The 12,847-nt window shown below is 52.3% G+C and overlaps 1 protein-coding gene across 5 annotated transcripts, besides 1 other annotated feature; it reads left to right on the top strand.

Moving 5' to 3' along the window:
* Positions 1 to 1,920: 1,920 nt before the first annotated feature.
* On the top strand, positions 1,921 to 10,291 carry SLC22A6 (solute carrier family 22 member 6). 5 transcript variants are annotated; one of them, NM_153277.3, is made up of 10 exons: positions 1,921 to 2,566; positions 2,841 to 2,944; positions 3,197 to 3,351; positions 4,878 to 5,046; positions 5,505 to 5,628; positions 5,788 to 5,903; positions 6,940 to 7,154; positions 7,292 to 7,400; positions 9,633 to 9,704; positions 10,007 to 10,291. In NM_153277.3, the coding sequence occupies exons 1-10, from the start codon at positions 2,198 to 2,200 to the stop codon at positions 10,092 to 10,094; spliced, it is 1,521 nt and encodes a 506-aa protein (NP_695009.1). In that variant the 5' UTR covers positions 1,921 to 2,197; the 3' UTR covers positions 10,095 to 10,291. The 5 variants fall into 5 exon arrangements, with proteins under 5 accessions (NP_695009.1, NP_695010.1, NP_695008.1 ...); NM_153278.3 differs by having other exon boundaries at positions 9,633 to 9,743; NM_153276.3 differs by having other exon boundaries at positions 9,501 to 9,704.
* Positions 2,234 to 2,784: an enhancer, noted in NCBI's record as "H3K4me1 hESC enhancer chr11:62751576-62752126 (GRCh37/hg19 assembly coordinates)". NCBI's record gives its function as "activates a minimal SCP1, AML or CMV promoter by ChIP-STARR-seq in primed H9 embryonic stem cells {active_cell/tissue: H9 hESC(primed)}" and the evidence as "EXISTENCE:reporter gene assay evidence [ECO:0000049][PMID:30033119]".
* Positions 10,292 to 12,847: the final 2,556 nt, after the last annotated feature.

The following is a 12,847-nucleotide window of genomic DNA, read 5'->3' as shown; positions in this document are numbered from 1 at the left end:
AAACAAATAAGAAGAGCCAGTAACCACTGAATTACAGGGCATATGAGCTACTTTAAGCTTCTTACCTATATTAGTTCATTTAATGCTCCAAAAACTCAAGGCAGCCAACATAGCTATTATCCCCATCTTGCAAATGAGGACACTGAGGTACAGAGGAGTTTAGTCACTTGCCCCTAGTTCCACAGCCAGTAAGTGTGGAGTGAGGATGTGGGTCCAAGTAGACTGACTCCAGAGTCCATGTTTTATATAATATGAAGTGCATAAGTTAATAACAAGAAGCTGCCATCTACTCTCTCTCACTGTCCTCAATCTGGGATCCAACCAACTGGATCCCATGGAAACCCATCAAATCAGAGCTCCACACTTCCCTGATCACATGTAACTCAGGAGCCAAAACTCTGTTGGAGGAATTCACGTGATTGTCTTAGAGTTGTGGCTAAAAACACAGTGAGTTCATGCTCATTGTTTTAAAAAATAACACTATGGCTGGGTGCGGTAGGTCACTCCTGTAATCTCAGCCATTTGGAAGGCTGAGGCAGGTGGATTGCTTGAGCCCAGGAGTTCAAGACCAGCCTGGGCAACATAGCAAAACCACATCTCTTAAAAATAAATAAATACATGTGTGCTGGTGCACACATGTAGTTCTAGCTACTCAGGAGGCTGAACTGGGAAGATAATCTGAGCCTGGAGAGGTCAAGGCTGCAGTGTGCCAAGATTGTGCCACTACACTCCAGGCTGGATGACAGAGTGAGACCCTATCTCAAAAATAAATTAAAGAGGCCAGGCATGGTGTCTCACGCCTATAATCCCAGCACTTTGGGAGGCTGAGATGGGCAGATCACCTGAAGTCAGGAGTTCGAGACCAGCCTGGCCAACATGGTGACACCCCATCTCTACTAAAAATAACAAAAATTAGCCAGGCGTGGTAGCACATGCCCATAATCCCAGCTACTCGGGAGGTTGAGGCATGATAATCACTTGAACCTGGGAGGCAGAGGTTGCAGTGAGCTGAGATTGCACCATTGCACTCCAGCCTGGGCAACAGAGTGAGACTGTGTCTCAAAAAGAAAGAGAAGAGAGGAGAAGAGAAGAGAAGAGGGGAGGAGAGGGGAGGGGAGCGAAGGGGAGGTGACAAAGGAGGGGAGGGGAGGGGAGAAGAGAAGAAAACAAGAAGAAAAGAAAAGAAAAAAGACACTATGGACAGAAGACAATATGACTAAGGGAAAAATCTGACCCTTGGAAGGGTCAGAAGAATCACTGGAAGAATCACCCGACATTGTGTATGACGTTGGTCTTAGGTCCCACTCCAAGAGCGGCCTCTGACTTCTGTTGTTTCTTCCAAATGAATAAAACCATGGTTCTATAAGATGTGAGCTGTCCCCAGAAGAACAAAGACTGGGGTTGTCACATTTAGCAAATAAAGATACAGGGTGCCCAGTCAAATTTGCATTTCAAATCAATGAAGAATTGCTTAGTATAAGTATGTCTCATGCAATATTAGAGACATACTCATACTTTTAAAAACTCTTCATTGACCTAAAATGCAAATTTGACTGGGCACCCTGTAATTTCCCTGGCAACCCTTCCCAAAAGCAGACTATTTGGATCTCATCCACTAAAAAGGGCAGAAACTCCTCAAGAGGCCACCACACTTCCCAGAGCCCAGTCTCCTTCCTAAAAGGAAGACAAATAGGTCCAATAGATCCCACTCTGGCCCCCCCTGCCCCCAGATGCCCCCCTAATACACCCCTCTCCCTGCTCCTATTCAGTCCACCCTCTCCTGCCCTTTATAACCACTTGGAGAAATTCCACTGACACAAGGAATCCTTGGAGGGTTAATCCTTCTGATACCAAGTCACACTTTAACTCATTCCCTCCAGGCCAAGGATTAAAAACTGCCCATGCAAGGGTCAGGTCTCCAGCAGACCCTGAAAGCTGAGCTGCCCTGACCCCCAAAGTGAGGAGAAGCTGCAAGGGAAAAGGGAGGGACAGATCAGGGAGACCGGGGAAGAAGGAGGAGCAGCCAAGGAGGCTGCTGTCCCCCCACAGAGCAGCTCGGACTCAGCTCCCGGAGCAACCCAGCTGCGGAGGCAACGGCAGTGCTGCTCCTCCAGCGAAGGACAGCAGGCAGGCAGACAGACAGAGGTCCTGGGACTGGAAGGCCTCAGCCCCCAGCCACTGGGCTGGGCCTGGCCCAATGGCCTTTAATGACCTCCTGCAGCAGGTGGGGGGTGTCGGCCGCTTCCAGCAGATCCAGGTCACCCTGGTGGTCCTCCCCCTGCTCCTGATGGCTTCTCACAACACCCTGCAGAACTTCACTGCTGCCATCCCTACCCACCACTGCCGCCCGCCTGCCGATGCCAACCTCAGCAAGAACGGGGGGCTGGAGGTCTGGCTGCCCCGGGACAGGCAGGGGCAGCCTGAGTCCTGCCTCCGCTTCACCTCCCCGCAGTGGGGACTGCCCTTTCTCAATGGCACAGAAGCCAATGGCACAGGGGCCACAGAGCCCTGCACCGATGGCTGGATCTATGACAACAGCACCTTCCCATCTACCATCGTGACTGAGGTGAGCACCTGGGGCTCCCCATCCAGGGGCCAAGATGGGAAGATGGGGGCCTTTGTTAAAAAAAAAAAAAAAGTACATGGAGAAATTAACTGCTGAGTTTTTTAACTGCTGAGTTAAAAAGAAAAATGCTCTCAGCTGTCAGGACCAGAGAGGCAAAGGGCAAAGTGCCGGAGGAAGAGGGTGACATGGACCCCAGAGGACCAGCTGAAGTGGGGGAAGGGGATTCTCTGAAGCCAGGCTCATCTCTGCCTGACCCTTGCTCCTCTCCCCACAGTGGGACCTTGTGTGCTCTCACAGGGCCCTACGCCAGCTGGCCCAGTCCTTGTACATGGTGGGGGTGCTGCTCGGAGCCATGGTGTTCGGCTACCTTGCAGACAGGTCAGTCCTGGGTAGGGTCAAGGGGCTGGGCTGGGCTGGGATTAGGGGCTCAGCTGGGCTCAGGGTGTCTAGGTGGGAGCTTGGCATTGCCAGCCGGCGCTGGTTTGAGGATCTACAGCACCAGCCTCATACTTCAGAGGTCCTCAAAAGGCCCCAGCCCAGGCATCATCCAGGGTGAGCCCTCCTCTCCTGGCTCAGCCTGACCCCCATCAGTCTCCAGGGCCCTGCTACAAGTCTCCCCTCCTCCCACAGGCTAGGCCGCCGGAAGGTACTCATCTTGAACTACCTGCAGACAGCTGTGTCAGGGACCTGCGCAGCCTTCGCACCCAACTTCCCCATCTACTGCGCCTTCCGGCTCCTCTCGGGCATGGCTCTGGCTGGCATCTCCCTCAACTGCATGACACTGAGTGAGAGATTCTTACCAGCCCACTCCCCTCCGGCCACCCAGCCCAGCAACCCCTTTCCAGCCTCCCCTCCCAGCCTGCCCCTCCTGAGCCCTGCCTGCCCTCCAGCCTCTCTCGGGTCTCACCTTCCTGCCAATAGAACAACCTTTTCTCAGGCTCATGCCGCCCTGACCCCTCATTTAAAAACAGGATTGCGGGCCAGGCGCAGTGGCTCACACCTGTAATCCCAGCACTTTCGGAGGCCGAGGCGGGCAGATCACGAGGTCAGGAGATCGAGACCATCCTGGCTAACATGGTGAAACCCCGTCTCTACTAAAAATACAAAAAATTAGCCAGGTGTGATGGCAGGCGCCTGTAGTCCCAGCTACTCGGGAGGCTGAGGCAGGAGAATGGCGTGAACCCGGGAGGCGGAGCTTTCAGTGAGCGGAGATTGCGCCACTGCACTCCAGCCTGGGCAATAGAGCGAGACTCTGTCTCAAAAAAAAAAAAAAAGCAGGATTGCAAACTCCATTGTTAGAGCCAGCAGATCATGTAAGACGGCCAGGTGCAGGAGGCATTAGGGAATGGTGAGAACTGTATTCAAAGGAGAGACACCTTCATCCAGAGACACTACAGGCATGCAGCTGCTCCAGGCAGGAGATCCTAGGGCTGTCATAGCTTCCCCCTCCTCTTTGATTAATGTAAAATAACCCAGTTTTTTTTCATGTTTGCAATTAACTCTAATAATAAACATAGGATGAGGCAGCATCGTGCAGACAAGACACATTTGTGGACTGAGTGTGGTCTCTCCATGGGCCATTGATGAGCATCCTCTGATGGATCAACCCCCGCTTACCCCATGTTTCCCAAATGAGGAATCCAAGGCCAAGAAGAAGGGAAAGGATTTACCCAAGGGCATTCCTCAACCACAGAAGGGAATCCAGGGATTTGGGATTCTCTGGACTAGAGGAATTAACCGGGACTGGGCTAGAGCCTGGGCAAGACACCTAAGAAATCCAACCCCCAAGTCCAGCCTAAGTATCCAAGTCCCTGTCCCAGCAGCCCAATGGGGAGCCCACCTGGACAGGAGGTAGGCCTCTCCAGACCACACCAGAGAGGTGGTCCCACTCCTACTTCAAGACTCCAGGATGGAGAAAAGCCACTGCCTCCTCCAAGATGCTCTGGCCACTGAGAGTGGAATCCAGCCCATAGCTGAGGAAGACCAGAGGAATGGTTGCTGCTGAAGACAGACCAAGTGGCCAGAGGTGCTCTCAATGGAGAAGGAACTCTAGCCAGGAGAATAGGTTGAGGAGGAGCAGAAAAAAAAAAAAAATCAAGAGTGTGGAGGGGGCAGTTCCCAGATATTCTGAACCCAGCTCCTCATCCATACCTCCACTGAAATTCCCCCACTCCCATCACCCTGGCACTCAACTTACTCGATGCATTTTCCACTGAGCCTTGGGACAGGCCAAGGTTTGGATGGAGGGAGGGGCCTTTACTAGCCCAGCAGCCCAGGTAGTTGCAGCATCCTGTCTTAACCCTCTTTCCAGATGTGGAGTGGATGCCCATTCACACACGGGCCTGCGTGGGCACCTTGATTGGCTATGTCTACAGCCTGGGCCAGTTCCTCCTGGCTGGTGTGGCCTACGCTGTGCCCCACTGGCGCCACCTGCAGCTACTGGTCTCTGCGCCTTTTTTTGCCTTCTTCATCTACTCCTGGTGCGTGGGGCCTAGGGTTGGAGGTGGTTGCCACAGGAGCCCAGAGGCTGCAAGGGACAGGACATCTCCCAGAGCTCAGCACACATCCCATCCCACAAATGTAGAGAAGGTCAAACCCAGTCCAATGCCTCTGTGTGACAGATAGGGAAACCAAGGCTGTGGGGAGAAGGCTTTGCCCCAGGATATCCAATTCTCTGGCTTCCCCCACTCCGTTCTCCAGCCTGCCTGCTCTGCTCCCCCTACCCGCAACCAAGAGCTGAGCTTCTGGATTGGGGAATATGTCATTACCAAGCTGGGCACTGCCTCGTGGTCCTAGAGAGAGGGATTTGGCAAGGCCCCTGGGTTCCCAACCTTAAATAAAATCCCATCGCAGACCCCTAGAAAGCCCAGCCCCAGCCCCCCACCCAGCTGACTGGAACTGAAGCCATGCTGACACCCACCCCCACCCCCGCTCCCAGGTTCTTCATTGAGTCGGCCCGCTGGCACTCCTCCTCCGGGAGGCTGGACCTCACCCTGAGGGCCCTGCAGAGAGTCGCCCGGATCAATGGGAAGCGGGAAGAAGGAGCCAAATTGAGTATGGAGGTGAGATCCCCTGAGACTTCCCATGATAACCTCCCAGGGCTTCACCCCCAAACCCCAAACCCAGGACCCAGGGCCCAGGGAACTCCTCTAAGTAAGGGATTAGGCTGGGAGGAGCTCCTTGGGAGGATCCCGGGCCCTGAGCTCTGCCGGTCCCAGCAGGTACTCCGGGCCAGTCTGCAGAAGGAGCTGACCATGGGCAAAGGCCAGGCATCGGCCATGGAGCTGCTGCGCTGCCCCACCCTCCGCCACCTCTTCCTCTGCCTCTCCATGCTGTGGTAGGCCCAGAAAGACAGACAGACTGAGACAAAAGGCTGGCTGGGGCAGGAGGAGACACAATGGGTGAAAGAGGCCAGAGAAGAGGGCAGGAAGGTCAGCAGACCTGCTGTGAGAAGCAGTAACCCCACACTAGGGATCATCCTTAGGAACCAGATGCCCCCAGCCTTGACTCAGTCCCAGTCTCCACACGGGACACCAGTCTCCCCATCTTGTCCTTTCACTAGCCCTGTTCCAATGTGGAGACACCTCATCAGGACCAGTGGGCTCCAGAGTCAATAGACTTACATCATGAAGGCAGAGACCAGTCTGGCTTGCAAAATATTCATAGATTTTACTGGCCTGATGGTGCCTGCCAGAAACACAGGCACAGGCAACAAGATGACTAAAACTCATCTCCAAAGAACACTTTGGCCAAGGCCAAAGAAAATCTTCCTTTCCCTTTGCAACACTCCCCATTATCCTTCCTTCCCATCACCATAGCAATCCCATGACAGTTAAGGGAAACATAGTCAGAAGGAACAATCCTGCCAATGAATTATTTGCTTCCAATTTGGGATTTATTCTCAGTCATGGGCTCTAGCCAATAATCTTGAGCTTCGTTTTTTGGGCTCTTGACATCTTAAAAAGCACAACACTCATCCCAGGACCATGGACAGGTCCCAGAAGGCTCTCTCTACTCTCCCAGCTGCCTTGGCCCTGAAGATGGCTTGGGTATGCACCTGCCCTCCCTCAGTCCAGCATCAATTGATAAGATGAAAACTAAACCTATGTAAATCCTACAGAGCAACTAAGTGAAAATTCCCCCAATTAACTGCAACCCTAGTTATCAGAAGATTGGCAAATTTGGAGTATTACAGGACTACCTCAATACTTAAACTCTGCAGTTTAATGATATGGTTAAATGAAGAAATATTAGCCAAGGCAGATTCCAGCTCCTTAAGCAGGGTACCCAATGCAGTTCCCCCACTGTTTTGAAAGAGCACCCCACTTTAAGCCTTCCTAACAAACTCCATACTCCTCTCTTCTCTCTGCTAGGTTTGCCACTAGCTTTGCATACTATGGGCTGGTCATGGACCTGCAGGGCTTTGGAGTCAGCATCTACCTAATCCAGGTGATCTTTGGTGCTGTGGACCTGCCTGCCAAGCTTGTGGGCTTCCTTGTCATCAACTCCCTGGGTCGCCGGCCTGCCCAGATGGCTGCACTGCTGCTGGCAGGCATCTGCATCCTGCTCAATGGGGTGATACCCCAGGGTGAGCACCCACGAGCACCTTGGCCCCTTCTCCTCAGCCCCATCCCCACACATAACCCAATATCTCAGAAGGGAGGGGGCCAATTCCTCCTAGCCTCCACTCCCAAGCTCCTGCTATCCCCCCTTCTTTCTCTCTAGACCAGTCCATTGTCCGAACCTCTCTTGCTGTGCTGGGGAAGGGTTGTCTGGCTGCCTCCTTCAACTGCATCTTCCTGTATACTGGGGAACTGTATCCCACAATGATCCGGTGAGTGGGAGCCTAATGGGAGAATGACAGCCTTTTCCTGGGGAAAGACATTCTTCTGTGCACAGGTCAGACCCCAGAGCTAAATCAAGTACATCCCAGCCCAAAGGCCCCTCCCAACACTCATCATTGCAAGGCACATAGTAGCCACTGAGTACACACCTCATGGCCTAGCTAACACAGGTGTTACTGTCCTCTAAGCCCTTACGGGACCCTAGAAGATCTCAAAAGTAGCCACCAACTGGGGCAGGGTAAGGAACCAAGAAGACACATCTCAGAGACAACAAATTGAAGTCTTCCTTTAATCTCCAAAACACAAATTAGAAGCTGCCACCACATCTACATTCCATCTATAAACCAAGTGATATATCTGAAAGCAAAGGCCACAAACATGAAAGCAATTTCCTATCTCAAGATTCACTCCTGATAATATCCCAGCAATAGGAATAAATATAGTATTGCTTATTTGAGTCCTAAGATGGAGGGCAGTATTTTTGCATTAAGAAACAAGAATGGGGGCCCGGCACGGTGGCTCATGCCTGTAATCCCAGCACCTTGGGAGGCCAAGGCAGGTGGATCACAAGGTCAAGAGATCAAGACCGGCCGGGCACGGTGGCTCACGCCTGTAATCCCAGCACTTTGGGAGGCCGAGGCAGGCAGATCACGAGGTCAGGAGATCGAGACCATCCTGGCTAACAAGGTGAAACCCCGTCTCTACTAAAAATACAAAAATTAGCTAGGCGTGGTGGCAGGCGCCTGTAGTCCCAGCTACTTGGGAGGCTGAGGCAGGAGAATGGCGTGAACCCGGGAGGCGGAGCTTGCAGTGAGCCAAGATGGCACCACTGCACTCCAGCCTGGGCGACAGAGCAAGACTCCATCTCAAAAAAAAAAAAAAAAAAAGAGATCAAGACCATCCTGCAAGACCATCCTGGCTAACCAACATGGTGAAACTCCGTCTGTACTAAAAATACAAAAATTAGCTGGGCATAGTGGCACACACCTGTAGTCCCAGCTACTCAGGAGGCTGAGGCAGGAGAATAGCTTGAACCTGGGAGGCGGAGGTTGCAATAAGCTGACATCGCGCCACTGCACTCCAGCCCCAGCAAGAGAGTGAGACTCTGTCTCAAAAAAATAAAATAAAATAAAATAAAATAAAATAAAATAAAATAAAATAAAATAAACAAGAATGGGATGCAAAATTTACATGAGATAACAAAGAAATGTCAGGCTTCCCTGGGCTACTTGGAGTGGGCCTGTAAGGTCTGCAAAGTGGAACCCTGAGGGTCATGGTCCTGTGCCCTTACCAGATTTCAGATGAAAGAGCAATAATCCGAAGCACTCACTATGTACCAGGCAGTGTCTTAAACTTTTCACAAATATTAATTCATTTAATCTGCATAACAAGCCATTGTGGTAGGCACTATCATTATTCCCATTTACAAACGTGAAAGCTGAGGCAAAGAGAGGTTAAGTGACTTCTCCAAGATCATGCAGCTAACAAATGGTGAAGCATGCATTTGAACCCCAAGCAGTATGTCTCCTGAGTCAATGTTTTTAACCTCTTCTCTCATGAAGAATGTTCTTAACATGCAGATTCCAGCTCCCTCCCCCTAGGGATTCTAATCCAATAGGTGTATGTTGGCTTGTTGCAACTATAACACAATTCCTCCAGGTGATCTGAGAACCATAGGTGTACCACAACTGAATCATTTGACAGCTGCAGAAACTGAAGCCCACGGAGGGAAAGGGGCTTGCCCAAAGTCACACAGCAAGTTAAGGGCAAAGGCAAAATTCAATCTTAAGTCTCCTTATTCTCTGGCCAGAACCCTTTCCAACTTCTCTTTTTCAAAAGATCACCAACAGCTGTGGTGGGGGAGGACCATTTGAGCCCAGGAGTTTAAGACCAGCCCTGGCAACACAGAGACCCTATCTCTACAAGAAAAAAAAAAATCGCCAAATTGGTTTGCTAATCAAATGGGGAAGAGAGGAGGTACCGGGAGTGTCCTGGGGGCTGAGCCTGAGCTGCCACCCTCCAAATGGGACCAGCATCTGGGCATTCATGCTGGAACTCTAACCAACACCCATCTGCTGCGGGCCCTGCAGGCAGACAGGCATGGGAATGGGCAGCACCATGGCCCGAGTGGGCAGCATCGTGAGCCCACTGGTGAGCATGACTGCCGAGCTCTACCCCTCCATGCCTCTCTTCATCTACGGTGCTGTTCCTGTGGCCGCCAGCGCTGTCACTGTCCTCCTGCCAGAGACCCTGGGCCAGCCACTGCCAGACACGGTGCAGGACCTGGAGAGCAGGTGGGCCCCCACTCAGAAAGAAGCAGGGATATATCCCAGGTAACACATGCAGGGTGGGGTGGTATTGAGACTCAAGCCCAGGCTTCCTCTTCTAGCCCAAAGCTCTGTGTCCCTTTGTCCCCAATTGCCTGAGCTTCTCCTAGAATCCTTCCTGGGGATCCCAGCTCCAGGGAGCAGTAGGTATTTGGGGCAGAGAGCAGGTGTCCAGGCATAGCTGAGCGGAGACCCCCTGGGAGCCTCCATATCCCGGCCCTGGCCTGGAGGCTGCATACCCAGAGTGCCATTCTTCTGCCGCCCTGCAGGAAAGGGAAACAGACGCGACAGCAACAAGAGCACCAGAAGTATATGGTCCCACTGCAGGCCTCAGCACAAGAGAAGAATGGACTCTGAGGACTGAGAAGGGGCCTTACAGAACCCTAAAGGGAGGGAAGGTCCTACAGGTCTCCGGCCACCCACACAAGGAGGAGGAAGAGGAAATGGTGACCCAAGTGTGGGGGTTGTGGTTCAGGAAAGCATCTTCCCAGGGGTCCACCTCCCTTTATAAACCCCACCAGAACCACATCATTAAAAGGTTTGACTGCGCACCATCTCTCTGTGTCTCTCTTGTCTCAAAAGGAATGGCCACTCCATTTTAGTCAGCTTCCAGCCCAAGAGGCCATACAGTCCCCTCCCACCCACTCCATCCCCGGGACTTTACAAACCATCCCAGAAAATTAGAAAAGACTCTTGCCTTTGCCCCTTTCTATCCCTCCCTCTTCCCTCCCCCATCCTCTAACCTATTCAAATATTTCTGTGAGATTTAGCTAAATATCTAATGCTCCTCCCTTCCCTGTCAGGCTGGAAACTGACAAGGGCTGAAATGACAGGCTGAAATGAAAGCAGCCAATCAGAGGCTTTGTTTCAAGCTCCTCCCACTCTGAGAGCAGATGGGAACCTCTGACAGCAAAGGAGAAGAAAAAGGACAATAGCTGGCCAGGTGTGGTGGCTCACACCTGTAATCCCAGCACGTTGGGAGGCCGAGGCGGGTGGATCACTTGAGCCAGGAGTTCAAGACCAGCCTGGGCAACATAGCGAGACGCTGCCTCTATTTAAAAAAAAAAAAAAAAAAAAAAAGACAACAGCTATGACTTCAGGATGTTGGCCCCTCTAGCAGCATGCTCAGGATGATGGAATCTCTAGATTCCAGCAGGGTCTGGACTCAAAACCCGCTCTAGATTAGCCTGCTAGCTAACCTAATCCTGCCTGCTGCACTACCTGAGCTCTCTTGGTTGTTCTGCCTCCTGTAGGCTCTGGGCTGGTGGAGGGAAGAGAAGAGGGAAGGGGGAGTGGGGAACATACCCAGTGAGACCCAGCACTGAATGCTAACTATGTGCCAGGCACTGTCCTAAGCCATTTGCCTATATTAACTCATTTACTCCTCCCTGTAACCCTTGGAGATTACTACAATTATTCCCTATTTTACAGATAAGAAAATCAAGACACAGAGAGGTTAAGTAACCTGTCCAGTTCACACAGCTGGTAAATTGTGGAGTCAGGATGAGAATCCAGACAATCTGGCACCAGGATATGTGTGCCTGACCCCTCTGCTGCCAGGAGCTGTGAGGCATTGAAACTTTAGCCTCTTTCACCCCCAGGACCCAGCTTCTCCTCCTTCCTTCTGGGCTGAAAAGAAAAGGACGAGAAGGGGAGGAAGGGAGATGATCATGGGAGGAACCATGTGAAAGGAGTTGGGGGGAAGGCAATTTAAGGGTTACAGTCAGGAAAAGACCAGGATGTCCAGCATCTGTGTCCTCAAAATAGCTCACTTCAGGGAAGCCTGGGGCAGCCCGAGAAGGGCAGCCCGAGAAATGCAGCCCTGTTCACACCTACAGGTGGCAGGAGTGAGGCCTGCCGCACCCTGCCATAAATGCTCGCTGGCACACTGCCTGGAACCCTATCCCCAGCAGCCAGCCTGGCCCGCGAGCCAGCCCCTTATCCCCCAGGGGAAAGTCTACATTCATTACTTGAGCTGTACACACTGCCTTCCAGGTGGGACCCTGGCCAGGGGCTCAGGTTGACTTAGGGCAATCTGGAAAGAGAGGTTGGCCTGAAGATCCCCTGAAAAAAAACCACACAGCCCGGGGAGAGCTCACAGCAACTCAGACAACAGGACTCTCAGGGCAAATCTGGGCACAGCAGAAATCACCACAACCCACCTCACCTCCTGGAACATCTGAAGCCTTGGTGTTCCCCCTTGGTGCTGAAACTCCTCATGCTCCCATTGGTTGCTTGTGGGTCATCAGCCCCAGTCATCCTGCAGTTTCTCAGGCAGCACTGCCCTCATGGATGAGCCTCGTGGAGTGTCTGGACTGAGACCGGGAGTCGAGACACATGGATTTAGCCCTGCTTCTGCAGATCCCGGGTTTTGAGACCAGTGACTTGGCCTACCACTGGCTCCAGACCCTGCCAGCAACTCTGACATGCCCTGGCTCCTCCTGCAAGTCTCTCATCTCTGTGCTCAGATCACCTGGTATCTGCAGATGCCTCAGCAAGGCTGCCCAGAGCCAGCTGTAGCCTGCCCCAGCTGCACCCCAACTGGTAAAAGTCCTGGGTGCTGATTCAGCCAGCTCAGACCATTCACACAGAATCCATTCCCCTAGCTCCTGGCCTGGGACTTCCTATACTCATCCTGTGCCCTTGACAAAAGAGAACCCTACCTTCCTCCCACTTCTAAGTCACCAGTAAGTGACTTCTGACCTTGCCTCCCCAAGGAGTCAGCCCCAAACACAGGCTCAGATCCCATCCTCTAGCCTTGGCCCTGAGGCTGAGTTGGGACACTGTCATGCCCCACCAGAGTGGCCTCAGATGCTCTCCCCCTTTTTTTTTTTTCCTGAGACAGTGTCTTTCTCTGTTGCCCAGGCTGGAGTGCAGTGACACGATCTCAGCTCACTGCAACCTCCGCCTCCCGGGTTCAAGGAATTCTCACTGCAATGTCAGCCTCCCAAGTAGCTGGGATTATAGGTGCATACCACCACACCTGGCTAATTTTTCTATTTTTAGTAGAGACAGGGTTTCACCATGTTAGCCAGGCTGGTCTTGAACTCCTGACTTCAAGTGATCCGTTCGCCTCAGCCTCCCAAAGTGCTGAGATTACAGGCATGAGC

This window comes from Homo sapiens, chromosome 11 (assembly GCF_000001405.40).
Source record: "Homo sapiens chromosome 11, GRCh38.p14 Primary Assembly".
Lineage (NCBI taxonomy): Eukaryota > Metazoa > Chordata > Mammalia > Primates > Hominidae > Homo > Homo sapiens.
This window is presented reverse-complemented; position numbering and strand designations above follow the sequence as displayed.

What these genes read in the sequence shown, in the direction of transcription:
- SLC22A6 (NM_004790.5), top strand. Translation starts at nt 2,198, where the DNA reads ATGGCCTTTAATGACCTCCTGCAGCAGGTGGGGGGTGTCGGCCGCTTC. An exon ending in CAATGGGGTGATACCCCAGG is followed by an intron (nt 7,155 to 7,291) that starts GTGAGCACCCAC and finishes CTTTCTCTCTAG; the next exon opens with ACCAGTCCATTGTCCGAACC. An exon ending in GAAGCAGGGATATATCCCAG is followed by an intron (nt 9,744 to 10,006) that starts GTAACACATGCA and finishes GCCGCCCTGCAG; the next exon opens with GAAAGGGAAACAGACGCGAC.